The sequence below is a fragment of the Homo sapiens genome, chromosome 2, assembly GCF_000001405.40.
Source record: "Homo sapiens chromosome 2, GRCh38.p14 Primary Assembly".
Taxonomy (NCBI): domain Eukaryota; kingdom Metazoa; phylum Chordata; class Mammalia; order Primates; family Hominidae; genus Homo; species Homo sapiens.
Window position 1 is genome coordinate 98,139,670 of NC_000002.12, and position 21,980 is coordinate 98,161,649.

The following is a 21,980-nucleotide window of genomic DNA, read 5'->3' on the forward strand; positions in this document are numbered from 1 at the left end:
ATCTAGTTAATCTAGTGGGGACGTGGAGAACCTTTGTGTCTAGCTCAGGGATTGTAAACGCACCAATCAGCGCCCTGTCAAAACAGACCACTCGGCTCTACCAATCAGCAGAATGTGGGTGGGGCCAGATAAGAGAATAAAAGCAGGCTGCCCGAGCCAGCAGTGGTAACCCCCTCAGGTCCCCTCAGGCTGTGGAAGCTTTGTTCTTTCGCTCTTTGCAATAAATCTTGCTACTGCTCACTCTTTGGGTCCATACTGTTTTCATGAGCTGTAACACTCACCGCAAAGGTCTGCAGCTTCACTCCTGAAGCCAGCGAGACCACAAGCCCACCGGGAGGAACGAACAACTCCAGAAGCGCCGCCTTAAGAGCTGTAACACTCACCGTGAAGGTCTGCGGCTTCACTCCTGAGCCAGCGAGACCACGAACCCACCAGAAGGAAGAAACTCCGAACACATCCGAACATCAGAAGGAACAAACTCCAGATGCTCCACCTTAAGAGCTGTAACACGCACCGCGAAGGTCCGTGGCTTCATTCTTGAAGTCAGTGAGACCAAGAACCCACCAATTCCGGACACAACCGCATGCCTTAGAGATTCTCCTTCCTCCCAGCACTGACCCATCCCATCCAGGAATGCTCACCAGCCTCAGATGAGTTCCCCTCCCTGGGCAGAGCAGGATCTTTGGCTTGGATTTACAGAGTGCAGGAGATTTAGTCTGGCAGATGCTGCTGACCGGAAGCTGCCACTCATCTTCTAAGCCTCTCCTCCTCGTAGCTGTCCTTCCCCTTGGCTTTCAGCCCAGCATTGGCTGGATCCCTGCCCCTGTTACCACTCCTGGGGCACTGAATGGGGGAGGTGGGTGTTCCGTTAAGGAGGCAGCACCTTCCCTCCCATACTTCTCTGTGTGAAGGTATTCCTGCCTCTTTCTCTCTTTATGATGGGCTTGGCTGTCTGCTGGAGAGGGTAAGGGGCACCAATGGGACATAGATTATTATGGGACCAGAGCGATGCTCCCTTTTGGTGCTCCTCTGAACCACCCAGCCCCCAGCAGCTTGTCTTCCCTTCTCTGTTAATAAGCGTGGATTTTCTTCATGGCCTGTGTCTACCATGAAATATTAATATTCATCTTACCCATAAGCAAAATAAGACAGAGTCACATTGAGCTTCCCTGAACTCTAGGAATTTTCCTTGGAAAAGATCCCTTTCCAAGACTGGGCAGCATTTTCCCCATTCTTGCCTTGGGGTCTCAGTTTCCCCTGTCCACAGTCTTGTGGCATGTGCCCCAGGCCCCCTCACCAATGGCCAGTTAAGAGGTGAGCCTGATGGGCAGGTAGCAGGGTCACATTGCCTTGGCACCTGGCTCTCAGGGAATCTGTTGGACAGTCCTCCTACCCAACTTCCGGAAGCCTTTTAAACATGGCAGCCGCCCATTGACTGTGGTGACACTTTTCATCTGCTCTGGTTGGCAGGGTTTCATGTGGTGCTGCTGAAGGAGACCTTTTTGCTTCAGAATCTGAAACAGAGGCCTGAAAAATCATCTTCTATGCCTCTCTGTTTCTGTGTGTATGCGTCTGTTTTGCACTGCGATAAAGGAACACCTGAGGCTGGGTAATTTATAAAGAAAAGAGGTTTATTAGGCTCAGCGTTCTGCAGGCTGTGCAAGCAGGGCACCAGCATCTGCTCAGCTTCTGGTAAGGCCTCAGGAAACTTCCGAAAGCCTTTTAAATATGGCAGAAGGCAAAGGGGGAGCCAGTGCATTACGTGGAGAGAGAGGGAGTGAGAAGGGGGAGGACTCAGACTCTTCTTAACTATCACATCTCATGGAAACTCATTACCACAGAGAGGGAGGGCACCAAGTCATTCAGGAGGGATCTGCCCTTGTCACCCACACACCTTCCACCAGGCCCCATCTCTGATACTGGGAATCACATGTCAACATGAGATGTGGAGAGGACAGACATCCAAACTCTTATCACTGGGCATTCTTGGGAGTCAGGGAAACTCATCTTTTAAGCAAACTCTCAAGTGGCCTTCCTGCTGGCCACTTCACACCTGACCAGGGCTTAAAAGTATTCTGTGATATTCTTTGAACCTTAATCTTACCATGATGTTCTCCAAGTCAGCAGTGACTTCCAGGAGGCCACACCCCTCTCTGCCCACCAGTTAGTCATGGTCTTAGCTGTCCCCTCCGGAAGAACTGGCTCCAGTGCATTGGTTGTGTAGGTGACACTGCCTGAGGTCCTGGCAGACCCAAGTGAGGCCCCCTAAGTGGCAGATTTGAATTTCTGGTCACCAAAACAAGGCCGATTACTTACTTTGATTTCTAGAATTCAGTTTAATTTTTTATTCCAGTCTCCTCTCCTCTGGTTGGGTGGGAAATAAAGCTCAGTCCTTGTCCCCATCCCGAGCTTTACCCACAGTTTGGAGACCCTAGGCAGTGTTTATGCATCAGGAGGTGGGGTCTAGTCGTTGGATATCTGTTCTGGAAAATCACACCATAAATACCCCTTGTCCCTGCCTTATTGCCGCTTCAGGCTGAACAGCTCTCTGCTGCTCCCGTGCTGGGCTGTGGATGTGAAAATCTTTTGTAGACCCTGCCCCGCCTCCCTGGATTCCCCCCATGCAGGCTTCCTCCCAGGGTGCTGCAAAGAACTGAGGCCAGTTCCTGTCTTCTCTTGGGGCCTGTCTCCTGTTCTCCCCCAAGCCAAAGGCAGGCTCCCTTTTATCTGAGAAAAAGCCTGGCTCCTTCCAGCTTCTTCAAAGCTACCTGCTTTGTAAACCGTAATACCTCTCCTAGGGGTTCAGGCTTAAAAAAGCCTGAATGTCTTGCAGCCTACTTCATCTTTCTACACTGCCATAGGCCTCCCTGGGGGCAAGTTTGCAATGAGCCTGGTATCTGCTCAAGTGTGGAGGAGGAGATAGAGAGGGGAAAACAGATGATCCTCGCAGAATATGATCCATCCATGTGCATAAATGTGACCTTCTGTAAGTGCCAGAGGCATGATGTTAAACCCTAACAGATGGCTCTTCTGTGGAGGTGGAGACCACTGAGATAACTTAATTAGTTACTCTGTTTTTTGATGTTCTAAAACAACACTTCAAGAATAGATGTTGGAGAATGGTAAATGAAGAGCTGGCAGTCTCTTGAGTGAGGCATGCAGCTCTAGAGTACGATTGGGAAGCCACTGGCCATACGTGGCTGGAGAGCACTCGGAATGGAGCGAGTCCAAATTGAGACGTGCTGTGAAAGTACAATACACACTAGATTCCAAGGACTTAGTGTAAAACATATCAATTATCACGTTAACAATTTTAAATTTAGAGGATAAATCAAAACGATAATACGTATATGTTGAGTTATATCAAATATATATATATTTGTTTGTTTTGAGAGGGAGTCTCTCTGTCACCCAGGCTGGAGTGCAGTGGCATGATCTTGGCTCACTGCAACCTCCATCTCCTGGGTTCAAGTGATTCTCCTGCCTCAGTCTCCTCAGTAGCTGGGATTACATGCGCCTGCCATCACGCCAGGCTAACTTTTGGATTTTAGTGGAGACGAGGTTTCACCATGTTGGGCAGGCTGGTCATGAACTCCTGACCTCAAGTGATCCACCAGCCTCGGCCTCCCAAAGTGTTGGGATTACAGGCGTGAGCCACCATGCCTGGCCAAGTTATATCAAGTATATTAATAAAATTAAGTTCACCTGTTTCTTTTTACTTTCTAAACTGTAGCTACTAGAAAATTTAAAGTTATATATGTGGTTCACATCGTATGTCTATTGGGTAGCACTGCTCTAGCTGTGTACCCCTGAGCATCTTATTTAAGTTTTCTGCCTTATTTTCTTCATCTGTAAAATGGGAATAATATGTTGTTTCTATTATGCTATATTAGCTGTGTTACATGGTGGGGAGGCAGAGAGGAATGAGGCACTGTCCTATATTCAGGGAACTCAAATATAGTAAAATAAAAAAAACCTGGGCTTTGGAGTCAGACCTGTATGAATTTGTCACTTATTAGCTGTGTGATTTCAAGGTACTTAGCTTAACTAACTGGAGCTTTAGCTTTCTTTTCTTTTCTTTTCTTTTTTTTTTTTTTTTTGAGACATGGTTTGCTGTGTCACCCAGACTGGAGTGCAGTGGCACCATTATAGCTCACTGCAGCCTCAACCTCCTTTGCTCAAGCAATCCTCCCCTCTCAGCCTCCCGAGTAGCTGGGACTACAGGTGTGCACCACTATGCCTGGCTACATTTTTTTAAATTTTTTGTAGAGACTGGGGTCACTATGTTGTCCAGGCTGGTCTCAAACTCCTGGCCTCAAGCAATCCCCCCACCTTGGCCTCTTGAAGTGCTGGGATGGCAGGCTGCTTTCTCCTTTATGAATGGGGTAATAATGTTAATAATGTTTACCTTATAGGTTGTTAGGAATATATCTCTATATAAGAATATATATTAATACATGTATGTATGCATATATATGTATGGATGGATGGATATATATGTATGTATGCATGGTTATATGTGTATACATGCATATATATGAAAAATGTTTTCTATGGTCTCTAGCACACAGTTAACCAATCAATAAATTATAGTTGTCATTATTGTCATAACCATCATCATTTGCAGTTACCCTGTTAATGTTATTATCACTAGGTAAACAACTTAAAAACTAAGTCTTATTATCTTTACTTCTCTTCTGTAATCCTAATTCCTACTTTTTTTTTTTAGTTCTATCACTAAATATATTGTACTCAGTTCCCAATTCGAGTCCATTCCATTTACTTTGGTTTCCTGAGTTCTCTCTTGGTTGGCTGAAGTTCCTCTTCTAGTCATTCCTTCGAGAAGGGCTTCCTTCCATTCAAGGAATAATGGTGCCCATAGGGTTTTCTTTCTTTCTTTTTTTTTTTTTTAATTGAAATGGAGTCTTGCTCTGTGGCCCAGGCTGTAGTGCAGTGGTGTGATCTCGACTCACTGCGACCTCCTGCTCCCAGGCTCAAGCTATTCTCCTGCCTCAGCCTCCCAAATAGCTGGGCTTACAGGTGGCTGCCACCACGCCTAGGTAATTTTTGTATTTTTAGTAGAGACGGGGTTTTGCCATGTTGACTAGTCTGGTCTTGAACTCCTGACCTCAGGTGATTCACCCACCTCGGCCTCCCAAGTGCTGGGATTACAGGCATGAGCCACCGCGTTATCCCCAGAGTTTTCGAATGTCCTTTTCTGCAGTCTTTACACACTGAAAGGACAGCCTGGCTGCTACAATGCCCTTGGCTCACTTTTCTCCCTTGAGTGGCTCAGGAGCTGTGCTCCCACATCCTCTCTGCTGCATGCTGCTGAGGAGAAATCTGAGGCCAGCTCGATTAGTTTTTCTTTTGTGAGTGACTTTATCTTTTTGCCTGGTTGCCCCCAAAATTCTTTTTTGATCTTTAAAGTCCATTAAGTGTTAGGATTTGTCTCAATGCTGGCTGCTGTGGTCGATTTTCCCTGGCCTACAGTGTACCCTTTCCGTCTGTATACTCCAGACTTCTATTTTAGACAAGATTCCTTGGATTGTATCTTTAAATATTTGTCCTGTTCCATTTTATTCTTATTTTAAATTGGACAAATATATTACATGTTGCTTTGTATGTGCCAGGCACTCTTCCAGCCTCTTACCAAATTCCAGCTCACTCAATCTTCATAACATACCCCCATGGAGTAGGTACTATTATTATTTTCATTTTAGTGATGGAGAAACCGAAACAGAAGGTGGTTGAGAAACTTGTCCAAATTCACATAACTATTAATAGCACATGGCAGAGTCAGGATTCAAACTCAAGACTGTTCTCATAACCATTGCATTATGCTGGTTTTCTTCAGAGACTCATTTTATCTGTCTGGTGTATCTCCTTTAACAGTCTTCTACATCTATTATTTTCTCTCTGACATTTTTAAGCACTTTATTTCTGCCTGCGTTCACCCTCTGTGGTTTCTCACAGTGAGTTCCATAGCACTTTTTTTCATTGAGCTTACATCAATTTCATCTTAACTGCTGTGATTTTTTTTCCTCTTTCCTGAGTGTTTTTTTTTTGAGACAGGTTCTCACTCTGTTGCCTAGGCTGGAATGCAGTGACGTGATCAAAGATCACTGCAACCTTAAACTCCTGGGTTCAAGGGATCTTCCTGCCTCAGCCTTCTAAAGCCCTGGGACTACAGGCACGTGCCACTATGCCCAGATAATTTTTTATTTTTGCAGAGATTAGGGTTGGGTTTTGGGGGGATCTCGCTATGTTTTCCAGGCTGGTCTCAAACTCCTGGCCTCAAGTGATCTTCCTGCCTTGGCCTCTCAAACTGCTGGGATTACAGGTATGAGCCACTGCACCTAGCCCTTTCCTAATTTTTTTTTATATTTCATCTTTTCTTGTTGCCTTTCCGTGTCATTTTTGAGTTCTTGAATTTCTGCTTTGTGTTCTTTCCTCAGGGAGATGATGGCTTCATATAGATATTTAATTCACAGAAAAAATGTTGGATCGTAATTGTAAGGACTCCTTGGTAACATTTTTAGTGAGTGTTCTTCTTCTCTTGGTAGTTTTACTGCTCTTTTCCGCATAAGTTTCTTATAGTATCCTTGTTTGGATGCTATGTATCAGCTTCCATTTATTGATCACCATGGAATGGACACAAGCTATCTGCAGGCATGTCCTAGGGGAGGAAAGGTAGGGAAGGGGCTAAGATAGCCATCTATGCTTCACAACTCAGGGGCTCTCTGCTTTTTTGCTGCTGCAGGGACAGAGTGGTTCCTGCATATAAGTTTGTTCTGGGTGATGCTTTGCGAAGCCCTACCTCTTTGCCTCTCTTAACCAAGTAGGCAGATTTTGCTGTCAGCACTTGTCATTGAGGTTCTAGCATCCAGGTTGCCAACAAGGCTCACCTTTGACTGTGGGTGAGGCACCCCCCACTTCCTCAGAGCTGCCACAGCCCTTTTGACCACTCTGGGTACACATTCTCTGTGCTTTCTTCTGCATTGCTTCTGTCCCATCTCAGCTGTTCTCCATAGCCCTTATCAGTATGTTATTTTTGTCTCCTAGTTTAGAGGAAAAAAGGTGTTTGTGTTTTCTTTTCCACTCTCATTTACCCTCATAATTTCTAGAAAAGGGAAACAGTATTGACTTATATAGCTTCGTTCATCCTGGAAGTAAAGGCTAAGTATAAACGTTCCAAGATGTATGAAGGCGTGGGCTCTAAGAGCAAATGTGGAACCTGATGTCTTCATCAACTGTGTGGAGTGGACAGTGTCAGCCACTTTTTTTGGTCATAGGGTTATGTGGCATACATTATGTTGCCACTCATTTAAATAAAATTGATAAAGTATCATTTGAATACTTAGCCCATCTATTCTTAATTTCGCAAATTCCAAAATAACTTTTGAAAGCATGATATACAATTGTGGTGTTTTAAAAGAGAATGTAATTTGTAATATTAGAAAATAACTTTCATCCTTTGTTTTGTTCTCTTACTACTACATCAGATATCTCCTGATGTAATTAATTAGAAACCATGATGTTTCTAATTATTGGACCAGGGAAGTGTTGCTTGGTGCATGCATACATTATCTCATTAGTATGAGGCTGGGGGTCTGAATCCAGGCTGTCAGGAGCACCTGACTATATTGCACTCTCCAGACATAATATAGACGATTTGGAAAATATGGAGAAGAGAGGAAAAGAAACATTCTTGCCATCCAGATATTTACACCGTTGGATATTTTGGTATATTTCCTACAGGTCTTCTCACTATATACTTAAAAATAATTAAGGCATAAATATATTATTGTACAAATTGAATATTGAATTTTCTACTTAATATAGAATCAAGTATTTTCCCACATTACTATAAAATTTTTGTAGTTGACATTAAAAATATCAAATACTTCATTAAAGTTCTATATTAGAGTTTTGTCGATCATTTCCTATTAGATATTTGGGTAATTTCAATTTTCTTTTGCTATCAGAGATCATACTGCACTTATCTTTTTTGGGGTGTATTTTTTTTCTTTTTTTAATTATTATTATACTTTAAGTTCTAGGGTACATGTGCACAACGTGCAGGTTTGTTACATATGTATACATGTGCCATGTTGGTGTGCTGCACCCATTAACTCGTCATTTACATTAGGTATATCTCCTAATGCTATCACTCCCCCCTCCCCCCACCCCACGACAGGCCCCTGTGTGTGATGTTCCCCTTCCTGTGTCCAAGTGTTCTCATTGTTCAATTCCCTATTCAGTTCCCTATGAGTGAGAACATGCGGTGTTTGGTTTTTAGTCCTTGCAATAGTTTGCTGGGAATGATGGTTTCCAGCTTCATCCATGTCCCTACAAAGGACAGGAACTCATCCTTTTTTATGGCTGCATAGTATTCCATGGTGTATATGTGTTGTGTGGTGTATTTACTCCTGTAGTTTAGATTTTTTAAAACATAAATTTCTGATAGTGAAAATACTGAATCAAAATGTTTGAACATTGTGGGGTAATCTCTCATGTTGAATTGCTTTCCAAAAAATACTTTAAGACAATATAATTCACACCCATTTCACAGAACCTGAATTAGCATAAAAATAGTATCTCATTGTTTCCATCTGAATTTCTTTGATGAAGAAATTCGTGTCAATTAGTATTAAACAGTAGTGAAGTTGAACATTTTTGGATTTGTTAACTTCTTTTGTAAACTGCCTGTTTGTCTATTACCCTTTTACTTGCGGGGGTCTTGTGTTTCTTATCACATTGTGTGAACAGTCTTTGGTGTATTACATATGGATAATTTATGTTGGTCATTGTGTTCCTTTTCATTTTGGCTGTTTTTTATAGGCAACCATAAAATTTGCACAGTAACTGTAATCTATAAATCCTGCAGTTCCTTCGTAACTGTATTTCTTCTCCTTTTGGTTCTTTATTGCCTGAGTTTAAAACAAAAGCAAAAATTGTTTTGGTCCTTCTAGATTTATTTTGAAGTATGGTGTGATGTGGGAATATAAATGGATTTTCCCTAAAATATGTAACAACTGCCTTCACACCACTCATGCACCCTTTCTCCACTGACCTCTGTGCTACCCTTTGTAATATATTATATTCTTCTATATGACACTTGCTCCTGGACCATCTGCTGTGCTTCAGGGCTCTTTCTCTTTCTAGTCTGAGGTTGGTCATGACCATTTGACCATGATTTGTTTTTCCACCTACCCTTATATTTATCATAGATGTGAAGAATGGGCTTCACGTTATCCAAATAAACGTTCATCTTGAATGTTGCTTGCTGGACTGACTCTTCTAAGGGGAGTGCACATGTGTGCTTGGTTTCTGTGCTGTCTCATTCAAGGCACACTATTTTTCTCATAGTATTTACTGACATTCTAAGCTTTTTGGGTTTTGCTCCAAATACATTTTTCTTCTCTCTTCTTTGGTTTATTGACATAATTTGGTTAGCTCCAGTGATATACTTTGAAAGAAAAAAGATTGAGCTGTATCAGCAGTTTGCTTACTGCAGCTTTGCTTTTTGGTGTATTAAAGCCTTAAACATTTTGAAACAATAATATTATTGTTACTGGTGGAGGGCGTCCAGGTCCTTGGCATTTTGAAGAAAGAATTGGACAAAACTCACAAACAAAGCAAGGGAAAAATGAAGCAACAAAAGCAGGGATTTATTGAAAACGAAAGTACCCTCCACAGGATGTGAGCTGGCTGAGCATAGGGGCTCCAGAGCCCAGTTACAGAATTTTCTGGTGTTTAAACACCCTCTAGAGGTTTCTCATTGGCCGCTTGATGTACACCCCATGCAAATGAAGTAGTGGCCTGCAGTCAGTCTGATTGGTTGTGGAAAGAAACCAGTCAGAAGCTGACATGAAGTTGCAAAGTTTACACCTTATGCAAACGTTTGATTGATTGTGGAAAGCAACCAGTCAGAAGTACTTTCAATTTTCCATCCGCCAGGCAAAAAAGGTGTGTGAGGGTGGGGTTTGCAAAGGGAGTACCTCTGGTTCTTCTGTTACTTAGGTTTGGAAAGTTGGGGTTTCCTTTTGATTTAGTTCTAGGAAGTCACTGTGAATCGGCCTTAGGTTCCCTGCCTCCAGACCCTATTCCCCCGCCTCATTATCAATTATCAACTGGAGATTTAAAAAGCTATAATTGTTTTTGAAAGTTTTCAAAGTACTTTGGACTGCTCTAACCTAAATTACTAAAGCCTAGATAAACAGATAGATGCATTGCTACAAGTTCTGATTTCATTTAATTTTGATGTTTGATACTCATTGGTAAGTAGATATTTGTATGAATCTTCATTTCTTATAATGAGTTTGATAAATAAATTGTAAGGGTGTCTGCAAATAAATTAGTTATATATGAATTATTATCAACTTTTAGGCCTCATATTTTAGGATAGTTCCTTATATCAATGCTTCTTCTGAGGAAAACAAAAAGTAGTTGTAGGCTGAGAGCAATTTTATCTCCTTTGTTGCTTCATTGTAAAGGCAAAAATAGATGTATCATCATGTAAAAGTATTTATTTATTCTGTGCTTGCTTTAGATTCCTATAGGTACATTAATTCCTTGGAGGGATTTCTCCCGAAAGTTTTTTCTGTGTTTGTTTTTCCAGGACTGCTCTTTCCAGGTGATGGAAAGCTTTTCCAGTGTTTTGACTCTGACAACGTGAGCCGCTTAGGTGGTGCATTAGGTAGTGCATTACATTTTACGTTTTTCTTATATTGTCCTTCAGGAGTTCGTGGTCATTCTTCTTTGACTATAAAGAATATGAAGGCAGAGGACAGGAAGCAGACTCAGGTTCATAGCACCTGCTGAGTCAGGAGCCCTCTGAGCACTTGTGCAGAGGTGGCTCTGATGTGATGGTGGTGCCTGCCCACTAGGGATCAAGTGAAATTGCCTCGAACCTTGATTCTGTGGCTTGGTGGTGTCTAAAGACCCTTTTGCCCAATTTCTGTGAACTTCTAGAGCAGGAGGCATACTCTTCTATTCCCATCACCCTCTGGGATCCTGTGCCTGCCTACATGGTGTCTGGTTTCCCCACATTAGTCTGGAAGAAAATTCTATTCTAGACTGTCTATTCTAAAATTCGATTCATCTCCGCACCATCCTCTGACAGTCTGTAGGTGTGATTTTAACAGATGCCACTGACTCTCTGGAGGGTGAGGAAGGACTGACATATATCCTCCCTGGTTCCTCCCTTCTATTTCCGTTTGCCTTCTGAAGCTTCTCACCTTTTCAAGAGCAAAACATGCCACTGAGTCTTCTCGCCACCTGATGGCATATATCTTGCACTTGAGGTTTGCTGAGCTTCTTGTACCTGTTGGTTTACAGTTTTCATCAAATGTGGAAATATGTCAGCCATTATTTCTTGATCACAGGTCTACATGTCACCTGCAGTTTGATTAACATGGAATGGACTCTCCTTTAACTAGTGCTAATTTTTTTTTTTTTTTGAGATGGAGTCTCTGTTGCCCAGGCTGGAGTTCAGTGGTACGATCTCTGCTCACTGCAACCTCCACCTCCTGGGTTCAAGCGATTGTCCTGCCTCAGCCTCCCGAGTAGCTGGGATTACAGGCATCCGCCATGATGCCCAGCTAATTTTGTATTTTTAGTAGAGATGGAGTTTCATCATTTTGACCAGGCTGGTCTCTTACCTTTAGTGATCCGCCTGCCTCGGCCTCCCAAAGTGCTGGGATCACAGGTGTGAGCCACCGCTTCCAGCAATCCAGGGTATATTCGTATTGTGGTGAATGCATGAGCTTGAGCTGAGGCCCGCTATGTGCCACATTTAAGGCCCCCACTCATGTCATATCCAGTTGGCCAGAGCCAGTCACATGTTCATGTCCTACAGCAATGGGTGGGGAGGTCTACTCCACTCACACGGAGGTGGGGAGGAAAGTGAACGTTTGATGAACAGTTGTGATTCCTTTTTTGGCTTGGAGACAGTGTTTGCTGGAAGGTGAATCAACTTTGGGATCAGACCTGGATTCAAATCTGAGTTTTGCCACTAAATACTTGTGTGACCTTGGGCAAGTTACCTAATCTTTCTGAGCTATGTTTCCTCATTTATAAAAATCGGAATAATAACATCTACTTTGTACAGTTTCTGGGAGAATTAAAGCATACGACACACATGGAAATGTCTAGCACAAAATTGACATTCCATTAATGGTAGTTTCCTTTTTTTCTTCTTGGGATTCCAAGTGGGTTTTGTTGTAGATATTGGTTCTGGAAAGTGAAATAATCCAAAAGGATTTGGCAGCCTGTGTCACAAAGAGCATTTTTCTAATGGTCATGGTAGTAACCAGTTTATTTGCATGCATAACGATGGATGAATTGTAATTTGGAACAAGGGAGTGAATACTGTACTGTTAAACTTTGTTCTTATGGGAAATGAGTCCATCTGTCAAGGTGGATCCTAGGAGTAGGCCGCAGGGGCCTTTCTAGAGGAAATCAGGAGTGCCTGTCCTTCCTCTACCACAACTAGAATCTGACTCAGTGGTAAGTAGGGTTATGCCATGGGGCCTGTTCTGGGTGTGAATTTCACCTACTTCTCTGTTGTCAGACTGAGCTCAGTAAGAAGTGTAAATGGTGCAATAATATTTATAAATTGAACATGGTAATTTTCAATTCTCAGAAGCTTTCATGGAGGCATGGATTGTCCCACATGTGGGCTGGGCTTGATGCTGTTTTGGGGAAGGAACTTTAACTGCTGGTTAAAGCTCTCCAGGGACTGTGTCTTTAAGGCAGACAGTCCCAATCTTCTGAGCAGCTGCTTTTTAGGTTGTGAAGGTCCTGTCGGCACAGGAGGAGGGAGTCTATTTAGTGGTTTGGGGACTCCTTCTCAGTAAGGAAAAAGACTTCTGATCTCTTGGGTTTGGAGAAGGCTTCATCTTTTATTTTGGTTCTCTTCCTGTATATCCTTGAAAATTTACTTAAACTGAAATAGTAAGTATGGATTAGTAAAATTACATTAGAGTAAACATCTTCCCTGAGGTCCTGGCATCAGGCTAAAAGAGGTAAACAATTTTGGCATTGATGCATCTAGCTCAGGATCTAGACTCAGCAGTGGAACGAACAGTGGACTTTTCTGAGATGGTGTGATGTCAGGCTTCTCAGACTTGGTGGTGGGATGAGCACCCAGGCTGAAAGCCATGGTCAGAACTCTATGCTGTCACTTCAAGCCAGAGCTTTGTACTTTATACACAAGGGAGAAGAGGAGGCACATTGCAAATGGTGCATATTTTCAACTTTAAGGTGGTTTCATGTATACAACCCAAAGTACCAACAACACAGAACCCTCTCACAGTTTGGTAGACCAGCGTTGGACGACATGGCATACCTTTCACCCTTTCACTTCTAGGCCTACCCCACCCACGACAGGCGTCACTAATCTGTCCATCATTGCTCTCGTCTCTAGCCTGTACTCACCTGGCTTCATCTCCTCTCAGCTCAGCCCTCTGGCCAGCCCCTGCTCATTGTTTAGAACTATCAAATAGCACTCGCTCTGCTCACTATCATATTTTGCTTATGGGACAAGAGAAAGGCTGCAATGAATGAATCAAAAGAATAAATATTAGGTAATAGCAAAAGGTAATGTTTTTCTGAGAGTAGTTTTGTTTGTGTCCAGTACTCCTGGCAAATGTCCTTAGAACAGCTACTATACTCTACCAGTATTATTCTTAAGTCCAAAAATATTGTAGCTGTAAAAATGTGGGTGATTCTACCTTCAGAAACTGTGCTTTTTGTGTTGGTGGAGAAAAATGCATGAACTAAGACTAAATATTATGAAACTGAGTTTTATTTACATAAGGACACATTCAGGCTGCTATGCTTAAAGGGAAAAAATAACCAAGTCATGTTCCTGGCAGACACCTGTGATCTCTAATTAGGTATTTAGAGTGTATTGGCCCATCACTTAGGCTTGGCATTGCTTCTTTGTTTCTAATCTCCAATTTAATTTAGAAGCACTGATTGGTGCCTGTTTATGGCTTACTGGCAGCGGGAGATTCTTTCAGAAGTCTCCTTCCTTCCAGCTAAAATTCAGTTGAATTCAGCGGATGGAGCCGGAGCGGCTGTGCATCCAAAATTGTTGCCACGTTGCAACTGACAAGGCTGAGAGACTTTAATTCCCTTCAAAGTCCTGCCCCTTGTAACAGTGGGCTGCCTTGGATTTCTTTTCTATTTTTTTAAATCTCTTGAGACAGTCTCGCTCTGTCACCCAGGCTGGAGTGCAATGGCGCAATCTCGGCTCACTGCAACCTCTGCTTCCAGGGCTCAAGCGATTCTCCTGCCTCAGCCTCCGGAGTAGCTGGGATTACAGGCGCCTGTCACCACGCCCAGCTAATTTTTGTATTTTTAGTAGAGACGGGGTTTCACCATGTTGGCCAGGCTGGTCTCAAACTCCTGACCTCAGGTGATCCACCAGCCTCGGCCTCCCAAAGTGCTGGGGTTACAGGTGTGAGCCACCGCGCCCAGCAGGATTTCTTTCTACTGCTCTGACATAGCCCTCTGGTTAGTTAACAAGCATTTATTAAACATCTCCTGTGTGCTTTAGAAACTTACTAGGGTTGAGGAGGAGGAGATTCAAAAGGAATAAAAGACAAGGTTCCCAGTCGGCGGGGAGCCCCAGATTCTCAGAATGTCATTTTTGCTTCTGCCTTATGACTTAGGGGTTGTTCCTTCCCTCCATTACTGCAGGATCCCAATTAGCTTAAGAACTGTCCACCTGCACCTTGCCCTCTTCCCTTAGCGCACACATTTATCTGAGGTGTTTGCAGATCTCGTTTTCCCAACTAAGGAGAGTAAGCCCCTAAGCCCAGGGAACCCCTCTGTTCCCACTCCCGTCTTGGGCTTATGTCTGGCATACCTATTTTTATTCTAGGCTCCTGGCTGCACTACGTCTTGTTTAAAGTAGCCCTCTTGACACTGGGCAGGGGTGGGCTCAGCCCAGGGCTTGGGTCAGCCAGTGCAATCAGCTCCTTAGAATTGTACTGAAATAATCAAGGGAATCCGGGCATCCTGCATCACCTAACACACGGGGCAGAGAGAAACCCTCAAAACTCTTAAACATGAAATTGAATTGCCAGGGAAAAGAGCCAGTGCAGATTTCCGACTGCATTTGAATTTCTGATTTTAGGGTGATGGCTCTGATTCCAGGGTGACAGATCCGTTTCACATTTACTATTGCAAAGTTGGGTGCTGTGCTGGGCTCTGGGGATACAATGATGAAAAAAGGAGGTCCCTCTCTTCAAGGGACCTGTGTTCTGGAATAGCCTATTTGGAAGTCTCGACCAGGTGTCAGGAAGGTACCAGGGAGAGTGGTTACAAAAACAGATAAACATAGTTCTGTCCTCAAGGAAGTCACGGTTTAATGAAGAAGACAAACTTACAGATAGTGGAAGCCCAGCAAGAGCTCTCAGCCTTGATAACCTGGTGGGCCATCCCCGTGGGTGACAGCCGATTCCAATACAGGCAGATCGCTGTGGAGCCAGCAGGTGTGTCACTGCTCACTGGAATGTCACTGGAGCCCCTGACCTTGGGGACACAGCTCACCCACCATCACCACCTGCATCAGAATTACAAACTGGGTGGTTTCAGACGTAGGAAGAGGTAAGTCTATAAGCCCCTTGAAGGAAAACGAAAAGTGATCAACACACAACAGATGGGTTTGCTCACGTAGATCTTGTATCATGAGAATTTTCCAGGATACCCAAGGCCAGCGTTCCAGTGTGGCGGTGGGGAGCTTTGGAGACTAACAGCCTGAAGCTGAATCCTGACCTCACCACTTATTAGTTGTGTGGCCTTGGGCAAATTTCTCTGAGCCTCGGTGTGCTCATCTGTAAAACGGGGATGATGATCTGGACTCAGGCAATTGTTGCAAGTCAATGTGGTAACGTGTTTAAGTTCCCAGCACGGTGGCACATAGTAGATACCTGGTAAATTTTCATTTCCCCTCTTTCTCCTCCATTTATCAGCAGGAAGCAGCCATTATAACATACATCTAAAATAGGTGACACTTAGAACCAGTAGAATGTTATGAAGATATGGATGACAGGTGGCCTGGAATGGGTGTTGGAAGATGGTGTCGGGGGTTCCCAGCACTGTGCAGGGGAAAGGGAGTGCTGCCTTCTCTTGTGAGCATTTCTGTAGGGCAGACACAGGGACATCCAGGCATGAGAATATTGCTCCTGGAAATCACCCAACTTTTTTTTTCTCCAAGAATATTTTGGAGAGTGATCATGTATTTACATGCCTCTCTCACGTCTTAGACTAAAGCTTTGTGAACTTTTGTTGCAAAGAATCACTGGGACGCTTTAAGAATATAGCTCCCTGGGGTTCCACCCTCAGAATGAGTCTGGGGTGGGGCCTAGGAATCTGCACTGACAAGCATTTCAGGGGCGTCTGCCACAGGTTCTGAGGACCACACTCTGGGAAGACCGCACTGGAGTGAGGGCCTCCTCAGAGCTGGGATGGTTTCCTGTTCATTTTGTATTTCCAGTGTCCGGATATAATCGGCAATGATGGGGTGTTGTTGAATAAATGAGTGAATGATGATTCTCCAAGTAGATTGTCCTACTGAGAAGGGGATATTTTAAAGCATTGGCTTCCTAGTTCCTAAGTCAGTGTCTTCTGAATTTGAAGAAGATAATTAGCCTCCTAGAACTTGCTCATTCCTGAATGATCTGGCAGAGCTGGGAGCAGATCCATCTACGTGAGTGATATCCAGTCCCCAGTAGCCCACGCACACAACCATCCTCACAGAGATAGGGCCGTTGCTGAGGACAGAGGCTGAGCAGATGCCGGTGCGGGGTTGCTCCCCAGTAACAATAGTCCTAGCCCTGCTCTTTGTGGTTCAGAGTTGGTTGATGGGAAATCAAGGAGCAGCCCTGCCACCGTCTTTGTTATTTTTATGCGCTATAGATCCCTTAGAACAGAAAGAGGTTCAGGCCTTTTCTTGGATGGAAAAACTGAAAAAAACTCAGTTTTTTTTTTTTTTTTTTTGTAAATTTGCTCTAAAGGAAACTCATAAAGTTCTTCTGAATTTACATGTCAATAAAACATTTACCCCTGAGTTGATGCCTTATAAATGGTATCACTTATCCTAAGTAGAATAGATTTATTCAGCTAAACTTTGTTGATGAGCATCTTTGCATCTGTTCCTTAGATATTATTTCTCTGTCTCCTTCCCTGGGTCTTTATGGTCTACTAGCCCCATAGCATCCTGGAGTCTGCGGTCATTTTTCTCACCAAGTTTGGGGGAGCACCTACCCTTTACCATGGGGAGAATGGTGATGGTTCATTTTTGGGTTTTCTAAACGAATTTTGGACAATTAGACTGCATTACATTTGCATTTTACAGTGTGCCATTTAAATGAATTTTGGACAATTAGACTGCATTACATTTGCATTTTATAGTGTGCCATTTAGAAGAGACGGAGAGGGCCCAGAGGACGGTGCCACATTCACGTATTAGACGATAGCTCAAGTTGCCCATTCTTCATATTGAAATTGCTTCTAAGATAACATAATGGCTCTTGTGAAACATATCTATTCATTGCCCCAATAAAACATTAGATGGTTATCCAGATGGTGAAATGACTCTATATTCACTTTAAATTAATGAATGGTTAATTTCCATAGGGTGGGACTGAGAGCAGCCCCACACTGTGCCTCTGTGGTTAGGGCAGTGGGGCTGGATCAAGCTAGCAGGTGTTTAATTACTTCTCAACAACAAAACATCTTAACATATAATATAATAGAAATAACTGGGAATTTTTTTATTATGACAAAAACCACTGATTTTCCTGCTTTCATTCCCTTTATGGATGCAATGTGGCCCTTTTACCAGATCCTCATGGTAATTTTAGGTCTCTGGGAATGTTTAGCACCTCACAGTGTATTATATTTTTTAATGTTATATCGCTTTCTGAAAATAGAAGTATGTGCTACTTTTTCCTGAAAATACTGCCTTTTCATAGTTATATTCAAGTCTTTCAAATCTGCATGACTGAATAGGAGTTTGGGGGTCAGGCAGACTGCAAGCTCGCCACCTGGCGGGACCAGTTCTTCACCGGAGAGTCCTGGGGTTGGGCAGGGCCACAAACAATGAGCCACAGTAGGACCGAGGGGATGGTCTGGGACTCAAGGGTCCCGAGGGTGGTTTTGTTTCTGGGCTGCCCTCTCCCAGGGCAACATTGAACTGTACCTTGGATCAGCACCGCACCTGCCTATCTTTCTAATTGCTTTTCTCCTCCTGTCCTGGAAACGATAGTACTTCAGATACTTGGGGGAAGTCTTGCTTACTGTGGCATGAACCTAGAAGGAAATGACTTCGTGTTTTAAGGGATGTCATTGTCAGTGTCTGGAATACCTCGGGCATAGCCATGTGCTCAGATGATCTGAGTCTCTTGCACACCCCTCTGAAGAGTTTCTTGTAATCATGAGGAATGAATGTATTAGGTGCTCCAGAACTGTTTCTATGTAATAAGGAAAAATAAAAAAGGAGGACAGAAATTCTTGCAGAAAATACTAGATAGAACCTGGGCTGAGTGCTGTGGAGGATACAAAGAAAGAAAAGACACTGTCCCTATGCTTAAGACATTTACCATCCAGTTGGCAAAGTCAGCCGGTGCACACACACACAGCAAGTGCCCGAGCACTGCAGGAGAGCCGCAGACCCCAGCCCACAACAGCTGGCAGGCTGGGGACATGTTGCTGAGTGCTGAGCTGTGTTGTAGGCAGCTGCCTACTAAAAATAAGCACTGGGTTCATGGAAGGCTGACTTAAATTAGACTGGACTCAAGGTCATGCACAGAATGATGTCACCATCACAGGCTTCTAGTTCTTTGTGTTCTTGGGAATTGGAGGTTGAGTGACAGGCAGCCAGGAACTGAAATGCACACATGGACAGGTTCACTAATGGTGCGGCCCGAGCGTGTCCTGGCAGCAAGAGGATGGAGTCTAGTGGTGCCCTGGTTCATTCCACGGGACTGAGAAGGGGGAGTAGGAGGCAGCTCACCGTTTCCTGGGGGTGGTGGAGTCAAGACTATGTCTTCAGTGAAGGGTGGGACGGGGTGGGTGCAGCGGAGGGCTCAGTCCTCTGATACAGAGGACAGGGCTGAGAGGACAGTGCTCTGACCGGGTTCATGGTGCAGAGTGTTAGAGGAGTGTCATGGGAGCTTTGAACCCTGACCTCAATGCCAGCCCAGGGAGCTGGGCCCTGGTCACTGCATCCCCAGCACCAATAGGACCCACCCACTACAGAGGAGATGCTCAACACATACTTGCCAAATGACCGTATTAATGAACTGGACTCTGGCAACTGGGTTTTATCCTGTAGGTGAGATGTGGAAGATTGGACAGGGAAATGGCATTTGGCAGCAGGTATCCTGTGGACTTTTCTCCTTGACATCAAAACTTCCTGTCCTGAGTCTCATTTTATTTGTCAAACTAGCCAGTCTGAGAAGTCAATACTAGGTGCTAATGAAAAACAGCAGCAGACTGTGACATTGCTCCCAGGTATGTTAGCATTTTAACACGAGCCTGCAAATTGTTTTTTTGTTTTGTTTTGGTTTGGTTTTTTTGTTTGTTTTTGAGATGCAGTCTTTCTCTGTCACCCAGGCTGGAGTGCAATGGCTCTCTGCAACCTCTGCTTCCCAGGTTCAAGAGATTCTCCTGCCTCAGCCTCCTGAGTAGCTGGGATTACAGGCACCTGCCACCACACCCGGCTCATTTTTGTATTTTTAGTAGAGACGGAGTTTCACCATGTTAGCCAGGCTGGTCTCAAACACCAGACCTCAGGTGATCCTCCTGCCTAGGCCTCCCAAAGTGCTGAGATTACAGATGTGAGCCACTGCGCCCGGCCTTCAAATTGTTACCAGGTGTCTGGGAGGGCAGCAGTCATGCAAGGCGGGGGATTGGGCAGGCATGCATTCTGGTTGGAGAATCCACTAGGTCTCCTGAATGACTCCATTAGGAACCGTATCCAGCTTCTGTTGTCAGGCAGACCTTAGTTGGCTTCCACCTTGACAGTCAAGATACATACAGCTTTGGTTGGGCACGGTGGCTCATGCCTGTAATCTCAGCACTTTGGGAGGCTGAGGCGGGTGGATCACCTGAGGTCAGGGAGTTCAAGACCAGCCTGTCCAACATGGTGAAACCCCATCTCTACTAAAAAAATACAAAAATTAGCCAGGTGTGGTGGTGATCCCAGCTATTCGGGAGGCTGAGGCACAAGAATCGCTTTAACCTGGGAGGCAGAGGTTGCAGTGAGCCTAGATCGTGCTACTGCACTCCAGCCTGGGCGACAGAGCAAGAATCCATTAAAAAAAAAAAAAAAAGATACATAAAGATACATACAGCTTCCTGCTGTTTCATCTCCTCCCTGGTGTAGCCTGGAGAATTTCAAATTCACGGAGGTCTGAACAGCGGGGTTTCCTGTGCCCCCATCGTCTTCCATCCCCAATGGGGCTCTGTCCCTCGGCTGTGGCTATCTGAGATCCCAACTAAGTCCTTAAAAGTGACCTTGATAAAACTGGCAGTGCTTCCTTACTGTGTGAGGAATAACTTGAAATAAAACCTGTGCATTGTCATGATGCTTTTACTGTTCTGTAGCTTTCTTTTTCACTGTTTTTTTGTTTTGTTTTGTTTTCTTTTCTTTTGTTTTTAAGCAAAGCAAATCAGATGGACTTGTGTTGCTCTCTGATCACCGACATAGCAGTCTGTAGCTGCTTCATCACGATCACTAGACTGGGGTAGTGATAATCCTAGATACTGCCTGCACAGGGAGCACGTCCCGGTCACTGCTGTCCCAGAGACACATTTCCCTGTCCCTGGATGACCAAGAGCCGACTGGGTTTCCTCGGAACTTTCTCCTTTGACCCTGCCCTGTGGTGTACTCCCTCTTAAGATATTATTGACAAGTCTAGAGGAAAGCCTTGACTCATTTGAAACTTTTAAGAGACTCCTGCTACTTAACACCTCCAGGCTGAAGCAAGCAGCTGGCAGTCTGTCTTGATTTTACAGCGTTCAGAGGGCCTGTGGGCTTAAGGTTCGCATTTGGCAGCAGCCTGTGTTATTTTTGGATTTTCAACATGGAGCTCAGGACACATCAGATTTCACTTCCTAGGCTGTTGATGGCCACAGAGCCATGGTAGCCGTCCGTCTCTGTCAGGGCTTGTCACTTGCCCCTTTAGGAACATAGCTATTAATACTCTCTCACTTGATTTGTCCCACTTCAAGAGGCTAGAACTTTGATGTCCCTTTTTTCTGCCCTACCCTTCTTGACTATATTTTAAAATTCAGAAACATCAACTCTGGTCTGCCCTAGTCTGCCTTGTTGGCTTAGGATCAGTCCTTTGGCCCCGGGTGGATGAGTCTCCTGGGGTGCCCCGTAGACTGGAGGGTGGTCTCTCATCATCTGTGATTGTGGGATATTGGGCATCAGTTAATTATCATGCAGACTTGGGAAGTGGGAGGAAGGGGCTTTTCGGTGTATTTGGTGACAGAACATGTCTCAGCCAAGGGGCAGGGACTGCCAGTTGCCACCCAGATACACTCCCTTGCTCCTTAGGCTGTAGCCCCAATTTTACTTAGGGTTGCAGTATACCCAGCCTAAAAGCATTTCTCAATTTCCCTTGCTGCCAGATGGGGCTGCGTGATGCCATTCTGGCAGTGGCTAAGTAATGAAGCTGTGGGGTGGGCCTTCTGGGCAGGGTGCCTCGAAGGAACTGACTCCATCAGGGGGTGTGCTTCTGTGTCCTCCCAGTGGCCCTGCTGCTCAGGACGTGCTGCTTGGCACTAAGGACACCATGTTGAATCATAAGGTGGCTGAAGACAGAAGGATGTGCTGAGATGACCGAGGAGCAGGATAGAAAGAGTGTGGATCTGTTTTCAAGATTTTAAAAATTAACCTTTTTATTTTGAGATAATTATAGATTCACAGGCAGTGGTAATAAGTGATACAG

General features: G+C 44.3%; 1 protein-coding gene across 19 annotated transcripts in view; it reads left to right on the forward strand.

The window, feature by feature from the left end:
* VWA3B (von Willebrand factor A domain containing 3B) overlaps positions 1–21,980 on the forward strand; it is a 243,450-nt gene that overhangs the window by 52,503 nt on the left and 168,967 nt on the right. For 2 of the 19 annotated variants that reach the window (NM_001345864.2, XM_017003561.2), the window contains exon 1: positions 9,864–9,972. The exons of 16 other annotated variants lie outside the window; for them this stretch is intronic. The gene's annotated coding sequence lies outside the window, so the exon portion shown is untranslated. Of the gene's footprint in view, positions 1–9,863; positions 9,973–15,486; positions 15,625–21,980 lie in introns of those variants that run through there. One more of the 19 variants, XM_017003562.2, reaches the window with a different exon arrangement.